We start from the raw sequence: 21618 nt of genomic DNA, 5'->3' as shown, positions 1-21618 counted from the left end.
GTGTGAATTAATGACTATCACTAATTATGACCTGCTTCCTTTGTTGAGGAACTTATCTTTCATTGCTATTCGTTTGCCTTGAGAAATAAGGAAGTATGGGTTGCAGATATGGGCAATGGACTGAGAGTCCTTAGAAGTGGATTCTACTGAACCAGTGTTGTGCAACCTGGGACATGTCACTGCCTTTTCCCGGGTCTCAGTTTCCCTATCTGTACAATAAACCTTGATGATATGATCTCTGTTGTCCTTCCCTATTCAAAGAGTTATGATTTGGGGCCCCTTTTCCTGAAGTCTGCGCTCCTCTGACCTTCCTTTTCCCTCTGTACCCAGACCCCCGATGTCAGTTACTGACTTCGATCTCTGATTTGTGCTTCTAGGTTTTCTTCGTGTCTGACCTCTTCAAGACTAAGACGACGCTCTCCCTGCCTGCCCCTGCTATCCGGAAGGAAATCCTTTCACCTGTGGACATTATTGACAGGAACAATCACCACAACATGATGTAGGTGCCACCCACCTCCTGAGCTGTTTTTGTAAAATGACTGCTGACAGCAAGTTCTTGCTGCTCTCCAATCTCATCAGACAGTAGAATGTAGGGAAAAACTTTTGCCCGACTGATTTTTAAAAAGGAAAAAAAAAATGTTTTACTATGTGGCCTTCCAAAATAGGTAGTGTTTGCCTATGTGGAAACAACAGCAAACTAACACCAAGTGCCAGAGTCCTGGATGTGCAATTGGTTTAAGTGTTCATGTTCTAGTGAACACAGCTTGTTCAGGAACAAACACTAAAACGATTTGAGTAGAGGCTGCTGGTCACCTTTTGTGACCTGAGGAATCCCAGGCCTGTGAGAAAAGCAAAAATTCACATTGCAGCACATGATGCCAGAAATAGCACTGAATCAAGAAAATAGCCATTGCGGAGCTGCCCTCTTGAGTCTTTCTGTCCATCCCATTCTATTCTGTACTGTGACTTTAGTTCAGGAAGTTTTGTTTTGTGTTTTAAATAAAAGGAAAGAGCAAGTTTGCTCAGTCAAGTGATCAGATCCCGAATCTAGATTCCCAGTTCTAAGGCCTTATCACCTCCCCTGCCCATAGGCCAACAACCATAGTTCCTCACATTAGTGATTAGCAGACTCTTTGTGGACGAGTGAATTTCACAAACAGCACAATTTCAGAAGAAATCGAGGGCACAGGCCCTCACTTTTCTTCTTTTGACGCATCATCCTGTGATGTTGAAATGTCAATTGCAGGATGCTGATGTTGTGCACGTCAATCACCGGGCACTTGCATACTCTTAGAAACAGTTCGACTTCGGTTACTGCCTTCTCCCTTGAAATCCTTGCTGCGTGCCCACCAGGATTTCCTGTGAGGGCCCAGGAATGAGCAAGGCATGGTCTGCCACCAGCTGACGGAAAGCAGCCTTCTGTACAACAGATGGGAGGGTGAAGGGGGCAGAATGAAAATCGAACCAACCTTTTAGCTGTTGCAAATCAGAAGGAGCCAGAGAAGCAGGCAGTCTCATGCATGAGAGGTTACCCTTCAGGATGACAGAGCTGAGGGTCTTTGTAGGAGTTGCTCTTGCTGTGTAAAGCACTATTGTCTTGGGGTTGAGCCCTAGGGCAGTTCTTGGTAGGTTCTGCTGGGCAGAACATATGGGTTAAATCTCGGTAGAGAGTTTCCCTCATCCTCTATCCGTAAGTGTCCTTCCATGCAAGGTCCCACTCTAGGTGATAGACAGGGACCCCTTCTACTGAACCTTTGAGGAAAGGAGGAAGGAAGAAATGCGTTTAGATCTTGGATGCAGACCTTTCAAAGGGTTAAATGTAACCATATGGATCAACCACATGCACATCCTTACTACAGAATCCGTCCTTTCATTTCAACTTATAGCAAGCTATGATTTTTATATATAAATATTATATAAATAATGTATAAAACATTAAAAGTTAACTATGTAAGATATTATTTCTGAAACAATTTAGCTATATCCACTATGATTATAAACTGTGTCTCGACCTGTGTTATTTACATTAGCTGCTTAAAAAAGCATTGAGTTAATTTTTTTAAATATCAACTAAAATATCATAGTTCTGTGGTAGACATTGTTTTATAATGAAATAACTGCAACTAGAGAAAACTGTATAAAAACATTAAATTGTCAGTATTTTTGTAAGGTTCCATTTTGTAAAGAGAATAATATTCAAAGACTTTTGTAGCATACAAAGTGAAAACTTGTATCTGCGAAACTATACTTGTATTAAATGTGCTTTTTAAATAAAAGCTCGTAACACAACTAATTAAGGACTTGCAAGCCTGGAGTGTTTGAGAGATGTTTGTCTCAGGTGTGTGGGTAGGAGAAGGAAGCATCGCGGGCTGGCCTCTTTGAGTGGGCTTGCCTCATCTCAGCGCACCAACTCCTGATTTTTTTCAGTGGGAAATGTGGTGGTCATAGGGTAGATACCGATGTCTGCCCTGCTCTTTCATCTCTGAAAGCCTGTTTGCAGAATGAGGCCCTGGCTCTACCCTCATCTCAGGCTCTTCTAAAGAGCTTTTGTATTCTAAAGAGGATTTTTCCATCAGAGAGGTAGGAGCTGTAGGAACCCCGAGGGCAGATAAGCAGCCCTCACTCTAGATAAGGTATGCTGGGGGAGCTTACTGAGGGAATCCTGTACACAGCCCACATCAAAGGAAGGCTGAGAATGGCCTGTGGCTCCTGCTTCCCTTCCTTGTGTTTCTCCAACCTGGAAGAAAAGGGGAAGCTAGAAATTCACATTTATTGAGCACCTGTGTGCCAGGGATTTCTGCCTATTTGTTCTGTCTGATCTTCACAGCAGTTATTTTGAGAAAGAAAGAATACTAAAGAATGCAAAGATGAAATGATTAGTCTAAGATCCTAGAGCATTAAATTGTAGGATAGGTCTTATATTAATTTGCTATAGCGGCTATAACAAATTACCACAAACGTAAAACAGCATAGATGTATTGTCTTACAATCTTGGAGGCTCTAGGCAAGAAGCTGTTTCCTTGCCTTTTCTGTTTTTAGAGGCCACCCACTTTCCCTGGCTTGTGGCCCTCTTCATGTTCACATGGAGGAAGCAACATTGGGTAGAGTCCTCACCCTGCCATCTCTTTGGTTCTCCTCTTCTGCCACCCCTTTCACATGTAAAGGCCCTCCTTGCTGATTACACAGACCTGCTCATAATCTAGGATAATCACCTATATTAAAGTCAGTTCACTGGCAAACTTAATTCAATCTGCTGCCTTAATTCCTCTTTGCCATGGAACATATATTCACAGATGCCAGGGATCTAAGACATGGCCATATTTCGGGAACCATTATTCAGAGTACCAGAGTTCACCCTCTGGCCCTCAAAAGATTCACATCCATCCCAAATGCAAAACAGATCACCCTATCCCCACATCCCCTAAAGACCTAGGATATGGCAGTATCAAGTCAAAATCCTAAATCTTAACAACTTAAACACCCCAAATCTCATCATCTAAACTAACCCATTCAAATTAGGTAAAAAGGAGGCTCCATGTTTAATCCACCCTGGAATACATTGCTCTCTATGAACCTGTGAAAATTAAGAAACAAGTTATCTGCTCCCTAAATTCACTGGTGAAACAGGCATAGAATAACAGTTATAGACATTCCTATTTAAAAAGGGAGAGAAGCCAGGCGTGATGTTTCACTCCTGTAATCCCAGCACTTTGGGAGGCCGAGGCAGGCGGACCACGAGTTCAGGAGATTGAGATCATCCTGGCTAACATGGTGAAACCCCATCTCTACTAAAAATACAAAAAAATTAGCCGGGCGTGGTGGTGGGCGCCTATAGTCCCAGCTACTTGGGAGGCTGAGGCAGGAGAATGGCGTGAACCCGGGAGGGGGAGCTTGCAGTTAGCCGAGATCCCGCCACTGCACTCCAGCCTGGGCGACAGAGTGACACTGTCTCAAAAAAAAAAAAAAAAGGAGAGAGAGAGAGAAATAGACGGAAAAAAGAAGTCATCAGTCCCCAGCAACTTCAAAATCCAGCAGGGACCAGGCATGATGGCTCACTCATGCCTGTAATCCCAGCACTTTGGGAGGCCGAGGCAGGCAGATCACTTGAGGTCAGGAGTTCAAGACCAGCCTGGCCAACGTGGTGAAATCTCATCTACTAAAAATACAAAAGATTAGCTGGGTGTGGTGGCACACTCCTGTAATCCCAGCTACTCTGGAGGCTGAGGCAGGAGAATCACTTGAACCCAGGAGGCAGAGGTTGCACTGAGCCGAGATTGCACCACTGCACTCCAGCCTGGGCAGTGGAGTGAGACTCTGTCTAAAAAAAAAAAAGGAAAGAAAAATCCAGCCAGGGATGCTCCATTTGGCTTCAAGGCCTGGAAATAGACCCAAGTGGCTCATGTCTGGTTTCTTGCCACCAAGGTCAGCCTGCTCTTTGCTGCTGGACAATGCAGTCCCCTCCAGCCCCTGGAATAGCTCAGCAATTTCACAGCATTTTTATATAAGTGGTGATGTCCGTTTGAGCCCCAAAATGTAGCTAGTAAGATCCTTAAGGCCAGAGGCCAAATTTTCACTTCAAATCTGAAGAACCAGTGTCCAGAGGGGCAGAACAACTCTTGTTGGTGGGGGTAGGAGAGGGAAGGCACCCAGGGAGTGGAGGGACTGGTGAGACCAGAGCCCAAGCCTCCTGATCCGAGTACCCCAGTCTTTCCATTTTATCTTCCAACAGTACTTGACAAACCAAACTTGAGAAGTAGCCCCGTTTCATGCGGACTTAAGGAAACAATGGAGCTGCGTGGTATTGTGAGGAGCAGCATGATGTGGAGAAGGAAACAAGGACCTGGGGACTCAGACCCAGGTTGCAGTCTTGGCTCTGACACTTCCTGGCTATGTGATGTGACTTTGGACACGTTTCTTAACCTCTCTGAGCCTTGGGTTATTGCTCGTTAAAGATGAGATTTACAAGATCTGTTTTTATACCTCTTTGCTCATGGCAGTCTGTGAGCCTTGACTTGCTTCTTTAAATGGGGTTCACGGACTAACAACATTTGTATCCCTGGGGAGCTTGGTAGAAATATAGACCTAGGAGAACCCCTGCCCCACCCCAACCTACAGAATCAGAATCTTCCTTTGGGTAGGATCCCCAGGTGATCTACATGCACAATAAGGTTTGAGAAATACCCCCACTCTTTGCTCATTAAACCTGCAGACTCTGTTCAGGTGTGCTTCCCCCAAGCCACACTCCTCCGGGGCTTGGCTCGGAGCATGCTGGGTGCAGACATCGGTAACCTCTTAGCTTAATGTACCAAAATTGCATGCATAAAGATCTGTATCAAGACTGTCAGATTCTCAGGGGCAGAAGCAAGTCTTATCCTCTGCAAATCCTGCATGTCTGCCTGGCACTGAATAGTTCCCGGCAATTTTGAACCAATTAATCATCACCCGGGTCAAAAAGTCACATGATTCTTGGTAACCATCCAATTAAACAGGCTGCAGGGACATAGAGAATTGCAAAACATTGACCCTGTCCTTAGGAATTAATGAGGACTTAAATTTCCTCTGAGGTAGAGATGGAAAAAAACAAAAACTTTAACAGCTAGAAATCTGCATAAGATTCCTGCCAGTTAGAATAAATTCGTACATTCATTCGTTGATTCCAAAGTATTTCCAAAGAACTGTTTATGTGCAAAATCCTGACGCAGGTACTTTCATGCAGTCTGCTTCATTTAAATCTTCAAAAACCACTGTTAAAGTAGATAGGATTGGGGGGAAATGAAGAGAAGTTGGTTGATAGGTAAAAAAATACAATTGATAGAAGGAGTAAGTTCTAATATTGGATAGTATATTAGAGAAATTGTAGTTAACAATAATTTATTGTGTATTTCAAAATAACTAGAAGAGAAGAATTGCAATGTTCCCAACATAAAGAAAAGATAAATGTTTTAGATGATGGATATCCCCATTACCCTGATTTGATCATTGTATATCACACACATGTATCAAAGTATCACATGTACTCCAAATGTTTGTACAACTATGATATATCAATAAAAAAATACAGAATAAAAAATGTAGCTATGAATAGTCTCATTTTACTGAGTGAGAAACTGAAGCTGTTAAGAATCTTGTTTCAGTTCACACATCTAATATGGGATAGATCTGGGATTCTGATCTAAATGACTTCAATTATCCATTGACTAATATTTATTAATCACTTCCTGTGTACCAGGCACTGGTAAACACCAGAAGTAAAACAGTAGATAAAATGGGATGCCAGCTTCGAGGAGCTTATAGTCTAAAGACGAATACAAACAGTCAAATTACAAATATGTAACTAAGAAATGGGATGAGTGTTCTGAAGAAAGAATGCAGGAGGAGCTATGAGAGCTCTCAGCAGGAGGACCTGCTATTGAGGAGGGCTTCCCTGAGACCCACCTAGAGCTAAAGTCTGGTTAGGGCACTGACCCAACAAAATGAATGAAAAGAGCCCGGCCTTTCAGGAGCCGAGAGCCTAGAATGTAGGTCTAGTAAATAATGAGTAAATAATCCCAGTAGTGTGATGGGGAGGAGGGGCCTTTATGAAGTGCTGTGACATGGAAGGAATCAGAAAGACCTGGACCTGGCCGGGCACAATGGCTCATGCCTGTAATCCCAGCACTTTGGGAGGCCCAGGCGGGCGGATCACGAGGTCAGGAGATCGAGACCATCCTGGCTAACACGGTGAAACCTCGTCTCTACTAAAAATACAAAAAATTAGCCAGGCATGATGGCGGGCGCCTGTAGTCCCAGCTACTGGGGAGGCTGAGGTAGGAGAATGGCGTGAACCTAGGAGGCGGAGCTTGCAGTGAGCCGAAATCGCACCACTGCACTCCAGCCTGGACAACAGAACAAGATACTGTCTCAAAATAAAAAAAAAAGAAAAGAAAAGAAAGACCTGGATCTGCTCCCTACCCTGTGACCCTGTGTAAGCATCCCTTCTAGAACATCTGACTCTGACAAGAAATGTCAAGTTTGTTTGTTTGTTTTTGCATAAACCCCTCTGATATGGTTTGGCTGTGTCCCCACCCAAATCTCATCTTGAATTCCCACGTGTTGTGGGAGGAAGCCGGTGGGAAGTGATTGAATTATAGGGGCGGGTCTTTCCTGCACTGTTCTCGTGGTAGTGAATACGTCTCACGAGATCAGATGGTTTTAAAAAGGGGAGTTTCCCTGTACAAGCCCTGTTCTCTTGTCTGCTGCCATGTGAGATGTTCCTTTCACCTTTCGCCATGATTGTGAGGCCTCCCCAGACATGTGGAACTGTAAGTCCCATAAACCTCTTTCTTTTATAAATTGTCCCGTCTCAGATAGGTCTTTATCAGCAGCATGAAAATGGGCTAATACAGTAAATTGGCACCAGTAGAGTGGGGTGCTGCTGATCCAGGCCTCCTGCTTTTTTATTTTTTTGAGACAGATTCTTGCTCTGTCACCCAGGCTGGAGTACAGTGGTGCAATCTCATCTCACTGCCACTTCCACCTCCCAGGTTCAAGCAATTCTCCTGCCTCAGCCTCCCTAGTAGCTGAGATTACAGGCACGTGCCACCACGCCCAGCTAATTTTTTGTATTTTAATAGAGACAGGATTTCACCATGTTGGCCAGGCTGGTCTCGAACTCGTGACCTCAGGTGATCCACCCACCTCAGCCTCTCTAAGTCTTCTAAAAGAAAACAACAAATGAGTGAATTATCAGAGATAAATATTAGTATCAGGGAGGCTTTGGTGGTATTCTTTTGATTCTCAAACTGTGTAAATAATAAGAACAAGAGAGACAACCTATTTTTAAAACTTCATAACAGGATATACAAGTGGGAGATAAACATATAAAAGCATGCTCAACTTTTTAGTCATGGGAAAATGCAAATTAAAATTACAATGAAATATCATTGCATATCTATGATATTCTTGTCTAAAGTCAAAAAACAGAAAACAAAAAACAGCGAGTGGTACCAAGTGTTGGTGTGGATGTGAAACAACTGGAACTCTCATTCACTGCTGCTGGGCATGTACACTTGTACTATCACTTCGGAAAACCTTTCCAGTATTTACTAAAGCCAATAATACACATACGCTATTCTCCAGAAATTTCACTCCTAAAATACATATCCAACAGAAGGAAATATGTGTGCACAACAAGACATGTACATGAGTGCTCATGACAATACTGTCCCAAACTGGAAGAAACCCAAGTCCCCATTCACAACTGAGCACCAATTAAATAATGGAATTAAATATTCACTTGAAGAAATACTATTTAGCAATAAAAACCAACAAACTCTTAGACATACAACAATATGAGTGAATTGCACAAAAAGAATATTGAATGAATGAAACCAGGCACAAAACAATACATACTATATGGGCTCATTTTTATAAAGTTTAAAACAGGCAAAACTAATCTATGGTGATAGAACTCTGATTTGTGGTTACCTTTGGGGCTATACATTGACTGGGAGAAGACTTGATCTGGGTGGTGGTCACTGTGTGAAAATGTGTTAAGCTGCATACTTATGATTTATGCACTTGTCTATTTGTAGGTCATAGTTCATTGAAAAGGAGAAATGAGGGAAACTTGTACAAACAAAATTTTTAAACACCAAAAGAAAAAGGAGACTGGTAGTATATTGGCAATATTACCGCTTAAATAGCTTTCAAATCCATCCCTGACCACTAACCTGTGCCAGACCTCATTAACTCTTTCTTAGCCTATTGCAAACAGCCTTCTTACGGGGTCTTCCTGCCTCCATTTATCGTCTGCTAAGACCTCTTCCACTCAGAGGTTGGGGGAGCTTTCCAAAGCACAAATCTAAACTATGTCACTCACTTGCTTAGGGAATAAAATGCTTAGCATGGAATTTATTCTTATTCTTAAATTTTGTTTTATTTTGAAAATATACTATAATACAGAGAATAACATGAGACCCCTGTGCCTAGCACTCAGCTATAACAAATTAGCATTGGGCCCTATTTTTCTGGATCAAATGTTGTTGTTAGGAAATAAAACATGGAGATAACATTTAAGCCCATTTACTCCATTCCACACAGTCCCTCCCCAAGGTAACCATTATCCTGAATTTTGGTATGTGTCTTTTAAATTTAGGTTTTCTTACTTGATCCAAAATATGTATGCATCCACGTGCCATATAAAGAACCAGTTGTGAGTTTTAAATGCATATACATGTAAATATTATTAAAGTAGTATGTATTTTGACTATATATTCTGATCATTCCATGTTGTATTTTGCACTGTATATGTGATGGCACACAGACCTGGTGTGGTTCATTTTAGCCACTCTGTGGTGTCATTATATATGAATAAACCATAACTTGTTCATTATAATATTGATGGACATTTAGGTTGTTTCCAGTTTTTCACTGTTACAAACAATGAAGTAACAGAAACCTTAAGTTTTCTCCTTATCCAAGTAAGGGAGAGTTTTAGTCTCAATGGATTTAGCAATGAAATCACTGCATGGTAAAGTATATACATCTCGACTTTAATAAATATTGCCAAAGTGCTCTTCAAAACAGTTATATCAAATTTATACTTTTAGCAGCAGCATCTGAGATTGACAATGGACTTCCATTCTCAACTGTTTGAAAGTATGACACAGTTATTGTTATACTTTTAAATATTACCAGTCTGATAAGGATGAATAAGAAAAATCTTTTTGGGTTTTAATTTTCATTTTCGACACTAAATAGGATGCACTTGTATGGTTTATAATTTTTTATTGTGAGCTTATCTATAGCAGGGCTTGTGTTTTCTCTGCGAGTCTCATATGGCCTGATCTCTAGAAAGCAGTTTTGTGTTTGCTTCTGTCAGGAAGGAGACACAGGGGTTTCTTTGGCCCTGGGCTAGGCAAATCTAATCACGCCATTCTCTTTCAAAACTCTTTACAGAAAACTTACAAAAAATAGTTCATACTGCTTAGATAGATACATAACACTGAATGATTTGGCCTCTACTTCTCTAACTTCAACTTCAGCCTGAAGGTATTACTTAGGTTTTTGTTGCTGTTTTTGTTTTGAGAAAGAGTCTTGCTCTGTAGCCCAGGCTGGAGTGCAGTGGTGTGACCTGGGCTCATTGCAACCTCCACCTACCAGGTTCATGGATTCTCATGCCTCAGCCTCCTGAGTAGCTGGGATTACAGGCACGTTCCACCATGCCTGGCTAATTTTTGTATTTTTAGCAGAGAGGGGGTTTTACCATGTTGGCCAGGCTGGTCTGGAACTCTTAGCCTCAAGTGATCAGCCCCCAAGGCATGAATCACTGCACTCGGCCTTACTTTGGTTTTATACTCCTCTTTTCTTTCTGATTTATGAAGCTTCTTTGGATCTGGTCATATATTAATGGGAAGAGAAAGTTGTTTTTTTTATGTATTTTTTTTTCTTTCTGGAGAAGGTAGTTCTGGATTAGCTAAGTCTGCCATGTTATTAGGTTTGGAATTTCAGGCCAGGCGCTGTGGCTCATGCCTATGATCCCAACGCTTTGGGAGGCAGAGGCGGAAGGATCACCTGAGGTTAGGAGTTCAAGACCAGCCTGGCCAACATGGAGAAACCCCGTTTGTACTAAAAGTACAAAAATTAGCCATATGTGGCACATGCCTGTAATCCCAGCTACTCAGGAGGCTGAGGCAGGAGAATCGCTTGAACCCCGGAGGTGGTGGTTGCAGTGAGTGGAGATTGTGCCATGGTACTCCATCCTGGACAACATGGCAAGACTGTCTCAAAAAAAAAAGATTTGGAATTTCAGCATGAGATTCCCTTCATGATTTAGAACTTGCCTATCTCTCTACCACTATTTCTTTCAACACATCCTCCTTTCCTTTTGTCCCCTAAAATCCAGCCATTCTGAACTACTTGCAGTTTTCCCAAACTCATACCACTTTGCTTTGGCATATGTATTTACTTCTTCCTAGTCCTCTTCAAGGATCAGATCCACCTCCACCTTCACCAGGAAAACTGAGCCCTGAGGTTAGATTGAATGGCTTTGCCGGCCTTCTACTTCTTTCTTGCTCTGTAATTGACTATCTATCTATCTATCTATCTATCTATCTATCTATCTATCTCATCTATTGACTGTGAACTCTTTGAGGGCAATGACGAAGTCTTTTTTTTCCCCCGACTTTTACTTATTTATTTATTTTGAGACGGAGTTTTGGAGTCTTGCTCCGTTGCCCAGGTTGGAGTGCAGCGGCGCGATCTCGGCTCACTGCAACCTCTGCCTCCCGGGTTTAAGCAATTCTCCTGCCTCAGCCTCCTGAGTAGCTGGGATTACAGGCACGTGCCACCTTGCCCAGCTAATTTTTGTATTTTTAGTAGAGACGGGGGTTTCACCATGTTGGCCAGGCTGGTCTTGAACTCCTGACCTCGTGATCCGCCCACCTCAGCCTCCCAAAGTTCTGTGATTACAGGAATGAGCCATCATGCCTGCCCTCCTAACTTTTATTTTAAATTCAGGGGGTACCTGTGAAGGTTTGCTACCTGGGTATATTGCATGATGCTAAGGTTTGGGGTACAAATTATCCCATTGCTCAGGTATGAGCAGAGTACCCAATAGTTTGTTTTTCAAATCTTGCCCTCTTCTGTCCCTGCCTGCTCTGGTTGTCCTCAATGTCTATTGTTGCCATCCTTATGCTCATGAGTACTCAATGTTTAGCTCCCACATTTAAGTGAGAAGATCTGGTATTTAGTTTTCTGTTCCTGCATTAGTAACTTAGGGTAATGACCTCCAGCTGCAGACACGTTGCTGCAAAGAACATGATTCCATTTTTTTAATGGCTGCATACTATTCCATGGTGTATATGTATCACATTTTCTTTATCCAGTTCACCATTGATGGGCACCTGGGTTCATTCCATGTCTTTGCTATTGTGAATAGTGCTGCAATGAACATGTGAACACATGTGTCTTTTTGGTAGAAAGATTTGTTTTCTTTTGGATATATACTCAGTATTGGGATTGCTGGGTTGAATAGTAGTTCTGTTTTAAGTTCTTTGAAAAACCTCCAGACTGCTTTCCACAGTGGCTGAACTAATTTACATTCCTACCCACAGTGTATAAAAGTGCTCCCTTTTCTCCACAGCATTGCCAACATCTGTTTTTTTTTTTTTTTTTACTTTTTAATAATAGCCATTCTGACTGGTATGAGATGGTTATCTCACTGTGGTTTTGACTTACATTTCTCTGATGATTAGTGATGTTGAACATTTTCTCATATGTTTGTTGGTCACTTGTGTGTCTTCTTTTGAGAAGTGTCTGTTTATGTCTTTTGTCCATTTTTTAATGGGGTTTTTGTTTGTTTGTTTGTTTGTTGAGTTGTTTAAGTTCCTTATAGATTCTGGATATTAGGCCTTTCTCAGATGCATAATTGGTGAATATTTTCTCCTGTTCTGTGGATTGTCTGTTTACTATGTTGATCATTTCTTTTTGTTGTGCAGCAATTCTATAGTTTAATTAGGTACCACTTGTCAATTTTTGTTTTTGTTACAATTGCTTTTGAAGACTTAGTCATCAATTCTTTCCCAAGGCCAGTGTCCAGAAGGTGCTTCCTAGATTTTCTTCCACAATTCTTATAGTTTGGGTTCTTACATTTAAATCTTTAATGCATCTTGAGTATGGTGAAAGGTAGGGGTCCAGTTTCAATCTTCTAGATATGGCTAACCAGCTATCCCAGCACCATTTATTGAATAAGGAGTCCTTTCTCCATTGTTTATTTTTGTCAACTTTGTTGATCAGATGGCTGTAAGTGTGAGGCTTTATCTCTGGTCAATGACAGTGTCTTATCCTTCATTTTTTCCTTAGGCTAGAACATAGTAGCTGGCACAGAGTAGGTTCTTGTTAAATACTTTTTGATTGAATAGATGACTAAAGAGTCTCCCCTTTCGTTTATATGCAGAAGTGTATGTGTGTGTTATGTTATTATATGTGCAAATATGTATACGTACTTGTAAATATATTATGATTGGATATCCACACAACTTTGTGTGTCTGTGTGTGTGTGTCTAAGTATACATGTGTATGCATATGTTCACTCTCCTTCTCCTGAGTGGGTGACACAAACTATTAGGTGGCATTTGTGGAGATGCTGCATGCAATGTTTGTGGTGAAAGTGGAGAAGGGAAATAAAGGATAATTGCCACTTTAGTGGCCAAACCATGGAATATGTGGTCCAAGCAGCTTTCATTCAGAAACTCTTGCTATGGAAGGTGACTGCTATGGAGGTGGGGGGTCCAGAATTATTTGTATCTATGTGAACACCACACTGCTCTTGGGTTCAGGGTGTTGGGAGGACAGGGTGGAATGAGTTTTGACACAAATGGACAGCCTTGGTGGACAATGGTTCCCATAGACCTGATCTCTTCAAATCCAATTAAAATTTGTGTGCCCAGTTTTCACTTTTCATTTTCTCTTTAATCCTTTGAGGCCAGTTCCTGCTGCACACAGGGGTCTCTTTCTAACCCGTTAAGTCTCTGCCTTCTATTTCTGTGGGGTTTTTCCTCTCATTCTCTGGCATGTGTGGGCAAACAGAAACTTAACTGCTGGCACTCTCTCTTTCAGCTTGATTCATGGGATGCTGTCTGGGGTCCACCTTTATTGGCAAAGGAGTTTCATGACCATGATGTTATGTCTGCTCAGTTGGAAGACCCCAACATGAATCAAGACATCAGAGGAAATGAGTGCTGATCCTCCAAGAAGACAAGCTCATGAAGTCATCATCAGTGACGGCAAAGGAAATTAAGGAAAACCAAGGTCAGAGTTCTAAGAGTACAATCAGTGTTTGTTTATTCATTCATCATTCATTCAATAAATGTTCACTGGGTCCTACACTGAGAATTAGCCATAGTTCCTTCCCTTAAGAAATTTGCAGTCTAACCATCAAGATTGACCTATGGACAAAAAGAAAGACAAAAGTAAGCCTAGGATGCTATGAAAAACCCAGATAAGATGAATCTAAAATACAGGAAGATCAGAGAGGAAGCAAATTGCACTGATAAAGTGCATGGGCTTACAGTGAGATAAACTTGATTTTAAATCTCCTCTCTACCACTTAACTACATAAGCCACTTACTAATCGAGCATCCATTTCTTCAGTTGGACATTGGACATAATACCTATGCAGAATGGTGGTGATGATTAAATAAAGTGAACTTTCTAGCATAGAAATTAACTCACTGCAAGTATTAAAATGGAAGATATTTTATTATATATTTTATATAGATGGTGCTTAATGTTAAATTTTGAAGCAACAAGTAGAAATTGACTAGATGAAGGAAATGAAGCATGGTGTTCTAGACAAAGAACACAACATCGTCCAAAGGTCATGTTATGCAGTTTGATGTGGTTGAGGTAAAGGGCTCATGTGCACAAGTGGTAGAAGCTGAAGTCAGAGTAAATAGAGGACAAATCATGCAGGATATCTACCTAAGAAGTCTGAATTATTTTCTGAAATCTATATTTAGATATTTTAAAAAGAGAATAACATGTTTAGATTTGCATTTTTTAAAAGTTACTTTGAAGCAACTTGGCAAACTTACCAAGAACCTTTGATCTAATAATTTTACGTCTAGGAATTTATAAGGAAATAATCAGAGATTAAGAAAAAAATTATGTACAAGAATTGAAACATTTTATAATAATGAAATTGTAAACAATCTAAATGTTAAATAATTGGGAAATGATCAAATGAATTATGACATAGTCAATTGATGTAATATTTTAAAGATTTCAAATGTATTCAACAACATTTAAGGGTATAGAAAAGCATGCATAATAAAATGTCAACAAAAATTTCAAAGCTCAATACAATGACCCAGTTTGAGTTTAAAAGAGAGAAAGAAAGAAAAAGAAATATCTATATGTACAGCCAAACTATTAGCAGTAGCAGTATAAAAAATATTTTAAACCTGTAGTTACTTCTGTATAGTGAGATTATTGGTGATTTCTATTTTTTTTTCAAAATTTTCTGCATTTTCCATATAAGAATTAATGTGTAGCTTTTACAAATTAATAAAATATTTTTTAAAGTGATCACCCTGGTAGGTATTATACGGAATAGTTGAAAAATGGTTTACATAGGAGAGACAGAAAGAAATGAACAATTAGATGACTATCATAATAATTCAGGGGAGAAGTGATGAGATTTTTAGCCAAGGCATACCCAGAAGGTAGGGAGAACCAGATATGGATTCTAGAAATATGAAGAGTTAGAACTGAGAAGACTATTGGATACAGGTGGAAAAAGAACAAATCAAACATATTGCTCATGTTTCTGTCTTGTTTCTCTCCTAGACTTGGTGGAGTTTGTACTGATCTCAGAGACAGAGGGAAAACAGGGAAAGGGTAATTTGGAGGAGAAAGTGGTAGAGATCATTACTGTTTTGGATATGTTGAACTTGAGGTGTTTGTGGGATCTTAAGGTGGACAAATCTGGTAAAGAGTTGGATAAATAGGTCTGAAGTTCATTATTCATGTATTCATTCAAATATATTTACTGAGCAACTACTATGTGCCAGACAAATACAAATTCAGAGTTGTGTTTGGACACAGAGCAATGTACAAAAGAGAATAATGCTTGCATTCCAGTTTGGAGCTGGAACTTCCAGCTCACAATAGACATCTGGGATTGGAGATAGGCTTTTAGGAGTCAAAAACTCAGAGATGGTAGGGGGAGATAAGCCTTGAGAGGTGGATGAAACAGATGGCCCAGTGTGGGGGGCTGTAAAATGAGAAGAGTGGCTTTAGTTTGGATCAAGTTCAGACAGGCTATTTCTTTTCTATAGCTCAGAGGATTGAACTGCTTTGTTAAATATCTGCTAACCCCTTAACTATGATAACTACTTTCTGATTATACTCAATTCCCTTCTGTGAGAGGTGAACAAATCACTATCTGTCTCCTAGACTTGGTTGCCACACCTCTAAACTAAGAAAACGATAAATTTTACCTGCTTCAATATGATCTTCCTGCCACAGGGCCTCTGCACACTCTGTGTCTTCTGCCTAGCATGCTCTTCCCTGTGACCTTCCCCTCCTTCATTCCTTCTTGTCATTCATATCTCTGCTCAATGAACACTTCTGCGGAGAAGACTTTCCTGATCTTCCCTGTATAAAGCAGGATGAACCCAAGCCCCTATGACTCTAGCACCCTATTCTAATCATTTCTCTTTCTGATATTTCTCTTATTATTTTTACTTATTATTGGTTCTTCTAACCCCCAACTAGAATGTGTGATAAGAGTATGGATCAAGCTTGTTTTGTTCTTTGTTTTAGTTCTGACTCCTGGAACAGGGCCTGACACATAGTAGCAAGAAATAGTTTTGGGATTATTTTAAATTTGAATTTTGAATTATTTGAAGAATTTTAAACAAATAAGACCAGCTTTAGGAGTAAACATTAAAAAACAATTATTGAGCATTTCTAGGTGCCAAGCACCTTGTTAAAGACTGATGATATAGAACAAAGTCACAGTTGTTTCTTATTTGCAAAGAGCTTTACATCTCATGAGAGATACAGACACGTATGCAGCCCTTATAAGGGAGCCCTTATGAGGGAGTGAGTTGGTACAGGGAAGGATCTCAAGATGTGTTTGTATTCATGGAGTCTGGAACTAGATAGTCTCAGGTTCTAAATTGGAACACTGGGATTTGGGATTCAGGTGCAAACTTGATATTCTGACCCACAGGCTCGAGTGATGAATCAAAAGATGGGACAGGAGAGTGAGTCTCCTTTTAAATCTTTGCTAGATTTTGAGCTTTTTATCTTTCTGGTTCACATTGTCCATCCAGAGCTGTATATACACAAACATAGTAGGTACTCAGTAAATATTTGTTGAATAAACAAAAACCTCATTTCAGAGTGAAATAAAATTCAGACTTGGTGTATACATGTAATGGAGTATCATTCAGCCACAAAAAGGATATACATTTTGACACATGTCACTCCATGGATGAACTTTGACGACATTATGTTTAGTAAAGTAAGCCAGTCACCAAAAAGACAAATACTATATGATTTTCCTTATATGAGATATCCAGAACAGTCAAACTCGTATAAACAGAAAGTAGAATGGTTGCTGCCAAGGGCTGGGGAAAAGAGGGAATGGAAAGTTGTCATTTAATGGGATTAGGGTTTGAATTTTGCAAGATAAAAAATCCCAGAGATTGGTTGCACAACAGTGTGACTATTACTTAGCTTAACACTACCCAACTGTACACTTAAAAATGGTTAAGACGGTAAATTTTTACGTTGTGGGTATTTTACTAAGCTTAATAATAATAATAATAATAATAATAATAATAATAATAAAATTCAGAGTGTGTGGCTGATTATTTAGCTGCACCTGGATCTTATATGTAAATTTATATTGAGCAGTTTTAGATACAACTTACAAATGTGTGTTAGAGTACACAATATTTCTTTTTTATTTTCTTTTTCCCCTGCAGAGCAGAGTCTTGCTCTGTCACCCAGGAAGGAATGCAGTGGCGCAATCTCGGCTCACTGCAACCTTCGCCTCCCGGGTTCAAGCTATTCTCCTGCCTCAGCCTCCCGAGTAGCTGGGATTACAGGTGCCTGCCACCACGCCCAGATGATTTTTGTATTTTTAGTAGAGATGGGGTTTCACCATGTTGGCCAGGCTAGCCTCGAACTCCTGACCTCATGATCCGCCCTTCTTGGCCTCCCACAGTGCTGGGATTACAGGTGTGAGTCACCGCGCCCGGCCAGAGTACACAATTTTTCAAAATTCTCTTCTGCAGGCAGGTGAACCATACAAGTTTGAAGCCCCTTAACACAGACAATTCTTGAAGAGCTGGCCTGTAAATGGAAGCTGAGAAATGGGTTAAGTAGCTGGAGGAAGATAGGGAGCCAAAAGAGACTCTTGTTTTTGGTTTGCTTTTGTTTTTAAGATGGTGGAAATGGTAGTGTCTGTGAGCTGAGGCCAATGATCCAGACAGAGGAAAAGTGATGGTGCAGAAGAGAAGAGCTCTGGGAGGGTTTTCAGAGCTGTGAAGGGCTTGGGCGTCGAATGCAGGTGGAGGTTCGGCCTATGGCAGGGCAAGACAGCTTTCATGCGAAATCACAGGTCGGAGGGCAGAACAGGATGGCCACCAGGCAAGCCACGCTACAAATCAGGTGGGTGCCTGGGGAAAGCTTGCAGAAGTTCTGGCCTGATTGCGTCTATTTCCTCAATAAAACAGCAACAAAGTTAGCAGCAGTGAGGAAGGATGGGGGAGCAGAGGGGGGAGCTGAGAAAAGAGAAAATGTAAAGTATTTGTTTAGAAGAGTGGAAGAGAATCCACTGGGAAAATGTAGTAGGGATGTAAGTCAGCATTAACCACCCATTTGGGGTTAGTGTCAAGAATTTATTGGGAATAGTCAGCAAGGTGGTGTGCCTTGCCCGGCAGACGCAGGTGAGGGTGGACAAGAGTTGAATTTAACCTGCTTGGGGTTTGGCAGGTGCGTACACCTATGGGTTCGAGTGGCAAGGGAGTTTAGACCGAATAATTAAAATGACGGAGCATGGACTTTATGCTGAGGAAGCAGAGAAACCGATGGCATAGGGATGGGTGGGGGGCAGTGAAAAGGCGGGTAGGATCAACGGATTGTTGTGTCCCTATGGGCTGTCGAATGCTGCGGCTGGAGTGTTGACTTTTATTTTGTAGATTTCAGCATATATACATATACGCTGAAATTATATATTACATGCTATATATGTTATTATATGTTATATATTATCTGCATATATACACACACATATTCCCAGAGGAAGTTAAACTTAACCTGGTCTCATATATACTACACATATAAAATATGTATATACACATATGTATGTATACACACATAGACATGTATACACACATATATACATATGTATATATAAAAATATATACAGATATTTTAAATTTCATATATATTTCCCGTCCCCTCCAAGAGCCCTTTCTGACCCCTGACCCCCTTCTTTAGCAGAACCCAAATGGTTTCCGTGGGTGGAACATCTCCCTGCGTTTCTGAGGACATCAGCGCACGTGGTTTCTTTCCCGGCCGCCGCAGCCCACTTGGTCGGTTTCCTCCTAGTTTTGGCCTGGTGCCCTCCCCGCGGGGCTCTGCCGGGTCTGCGGGTCGGGGCCGTCCGTCCTTTCACCCTGGAGGAGAGAAAGCAGAGATGGGAAGCTTGCGCGCTCGGGCGGGGCCAGTCCACCGAGCCCGACGAGGCTCGGACGGCCCCGGAGGTGGGCGCGCCTCGGCCGTTCCTCCGCGGCGGGGGCTGCTCCGGACGCCCCACGTCTCGGGCCTGGGATTCAGCCTGTGAGGTGGGGGCGGCCGGGGCGGCGGCTGCCGGGAGGGGCTCATTGTTCTGCCGGCCGCTTTGACTTCATTTTCTGCTTTTCATCCCAGGCCGGGACGGTTTAGAATGCAAATGCGGGCTGCTTTTGTAGCTGTGCGTTTGTCTGGGAGCCGTGCGTTTGTCTGGGGTGAGATCACAGCAAAAGGGTTTTGTTTGGCTTTTTAAATTCTTCTGGGGAGAGCAAAAGAAGCTGGAGGAGCGCTGGGCGCAGAAGACCTCCCGGGCGGGAAGGCGGGGCAGGCATGGGCCCAATGGGAGCAGCCGTCGGCTTCTGCAGGCCTGGTTTGGAAAGGAACCGGGTCAGAAGGGTGTTGTTGAACATTAACTCCTTGTGGCCTGGCGGATGGGGAGTTGGGGGTTTCCAAGCTGCTCACCCCAGAACATGCAGTCCACTAATACTGTATTTCGTGCTTCCTTTGTGCCACACCCTGGGGACATTTCCAAAGAGAAAGGTGACGTCCAGCCCTTTCACGTGACTGCATCTAAGTGTCCTCTGCCAGAAGTGGATATTCGGGCACTTCATCCTCACGACCCTGTGTTGTAGGTATTACTGTCTCCATTTTATAGATGAGGCAGTTGAGAGTTAGAACATCACCCAGATAGTATGGGACAGAGCTTTCTTGAGGCTGGGATGTGCCTTCAAAGCCCAGGCACTTTGTCACTCCAGGCCCACCAGGCCCTCGAGGGGTACCCAGCTTGGTAAGCAGGGAGAGAACGAGGGAAACTAAGAATGATAAGTCAGATTCAGAAGAGTGGTATCCAGGTAAATGCTCGAAGCATAGGAAGAAGCCAATGGAGTGTGTTTGTTTGTTTTTGAGAAGGAGTCTTGCTCAGGCTGGAGTGCAGTGACCCGATCTTGGCTCACTGCAACATTTGCCTCCCGGGTTCAAATGATTCTCCTGCTTCAACCTCCTGAGTAGCTAGGATTACAGGCATGCGCCACGATGCCTGGCTAATTTTTATATTTTTAGTAGAGATGGGGTTTCACCATGTTGTCCAGGCTGGTCTTGAACTCCTGACCTCAGGCGATCCACCTGCCCGGGCCTCCCAAAGTGCTAGGATTACAGGCGTGAGCCACTTGTGCCAAGCCTGTTTGTTTGTTTTGAGATGAAGTCTTGATCTGTCTTCCAGGCTGGAGTGCAGTGACGAGATCTCGGCTCACTGCAACCTCCACCTTCCAGGTTCAAGTGATTCTCCTACCTCAGCCTCCCAAGTAGCTGGGATTACAGGCGTGTGCCACCACAGCCAGCTAATTTTTGTATTTTTAGTATAGACAGGGTTTCACAATTTTGGCAAGCTGGTCTTGAACTCCTGACCTCAGGTGATCCGCCCCTCTCGGCCTCCCAAAGTGCTGGGATTACAGGCGTGAGCCACCGCGCCCGGTCTGTTTGTTTGTTTTTGAGTGACTCAGGGAAATATTCCCATAGGAGGTTAAACTTAACCTGGCCAGAGGATGAGAAGGGAGTAGGTTTTCCACAAGCACTGCTAGACATATCAGGTCCAGGGAGCAGCAGGTTCAAAGATGGATTCTGTACCAGAATCTCTGTACACAATTCTGGTACACAGAATGCAAGAACTAGAAGGCCCTTAGGAAGCTCCCACCCTTTCATTTTACTGAAGACGTAAAAGGAGACCCAGAGAGGGTAAGTAATTATTTAAGATCACAAAGCAAGCGAGTGACAAAACTGGAACTGGAACCCAGATGCTCTACCCTTTCATCTGTGGTATTTCTTAACTCAGTAGTCACACATACAATGTAAGCGAGTTCACACTTGTGTAGCACTTAACAGTGGGCCAAGTACTTGATATACTTTCCTCTCTTTTAGTCCTTGTAACAAATTCATGAGGTAGCCACTGTTTTACAAAGGAGAAAACTGAGACACAGAGAAGCAACTGACTCAAGATCACACTGCAAATCACGCCCTAGAACCCATGCCCTTTCCTACTCTGCCACAGCGCTGATAAGTAGGTAAGGAAAGAAGGGAGGCCCAGAGAAGGCAGTTACCAATTTTAAGATCATAAAACAGGCAAGTGAAGGAAAACCATTTCAATGTAGAAATTTTGACCCCTGTATTCAGATGAGGAAACGGAGACTCAGATGTCCAGTGACTTGCCCAAGAACACAGTGAGAAAGTGGTGGGCCTAGCATTGGAGACTATACCTGAGTTCTTTCTACTCTGTCTAGCTCAGCCCCCACCTTGGATGGAGAAGCAATCAAAGCTCCCCTTCCCTTGGTA

General features: G+C 42.1%; 1 protein-coding gene and 1 long non-coding RNA gene across 4 annotated transcripts in view, besides 3 other annotated features; both read left to right on the top strand.

Moving 5' to 3' along the window:
- Positions 1-2293, top strand: part of PLPP3 (phospholipid phosphatase 3) — an 84803-nt gene extending 82510 nt beyond the window's left edge. The window contains exon 6 of the mRNA NM_003713.5: positions 378-2293. Within this exon, the coding sequence (NP_003704.3) occupies positions 378-503 (126 nt within the window). The 3' untranslated portion in view covers positions 504-2293. The remainder of the gene's footprint in view (positions 1-377) is intronic.
- Positions 2319-2977: an enhancer, noted in NCBI's record as "NANOG hESC enhancer chr1:56959749-56960407 (GRCh37/hg19 assembly coordinates)". NCBI's record gives its function as "activates a minimal SCP1, AML or CMV promoter by ChIP-STARR-seq in naive H9 embryonic stem cells {active_cell/tissue: H9 hESC(naive)}" and the evidence as "EXISTENCE:reporter gene assay evidence [ECO:0000049][PMID:30033119]".
- Positions 6158-6657: an enhancer, noted in NCBI's record as "H3K4me1 hESC enhancer chr1:56956069-56956568 (GRCh37/hg19 assembly coordinates)". NCBI's record gives its function as "activates a minimal SCP1, AML or CMV promoter by ChIP-STARR-seq in primed H9 embryonic stem cells {active_cell/tissue: H9 hESC(primed)}" and the evidence as "EXISTENCE:reporter gene assay evidence [ECO:0000049][PMID:30033119]".
- LOC124904185 (uncharacterized) overlaps positions 12719-21618 on the top strand; it is a 74169-nt gene continuing 65269 nt past the window's right edge. The window contains exons 1-2 of one of the 3 annotated variants that reach the window (XR_007066105.1): positions 12719-13791; positions 17943-19921. This is a non-coding gene — a long non-coding RNA (uncharacterized LOC124904185). Of the gene's footprint in view, positions 19922-21618 lie in introns of all 3 variants that reach the window. The other 2 variants (XR_007066106.1, XR_007066104.1) reach the window with 2 other exon arrangements.
- Positions 19352-20125: an enhancer, noted in NCBI's record as "H3K4me1 hESC enhancer chr1:56942601-56943374 (GRCh37/hg19 assembly coordinates)". NCBI's record gives its function as "activates a minimal SCP1, AML or CMV promoter by ChIP-STARR-seq in naive H9 embryonic stem cells {active_cell/tissue: H9 hESC(naive)}" and the evidence as "EXISTENCE:reporter gene assay evidence [ECO:0000049][PMID:30033119]".

The sequence above is a fragment of the Homo sapiens genome, chromosome 1 (genome assembly GCF_000001405.40).
Source record: "Homo sapiens chromosome 1, GRCh38.p14 Primary Assembly".
In the NCBI taxonomy this organism is placed as follows: domain Eukaryota; kingdom Metazoa; phylum Chordata; class Mammalia; order Primates; family Hominidae; genus Homo; species Homo sapiens.
This window is presented reverse-complemented; position numbering and strand designations above follow the sequence as displayed.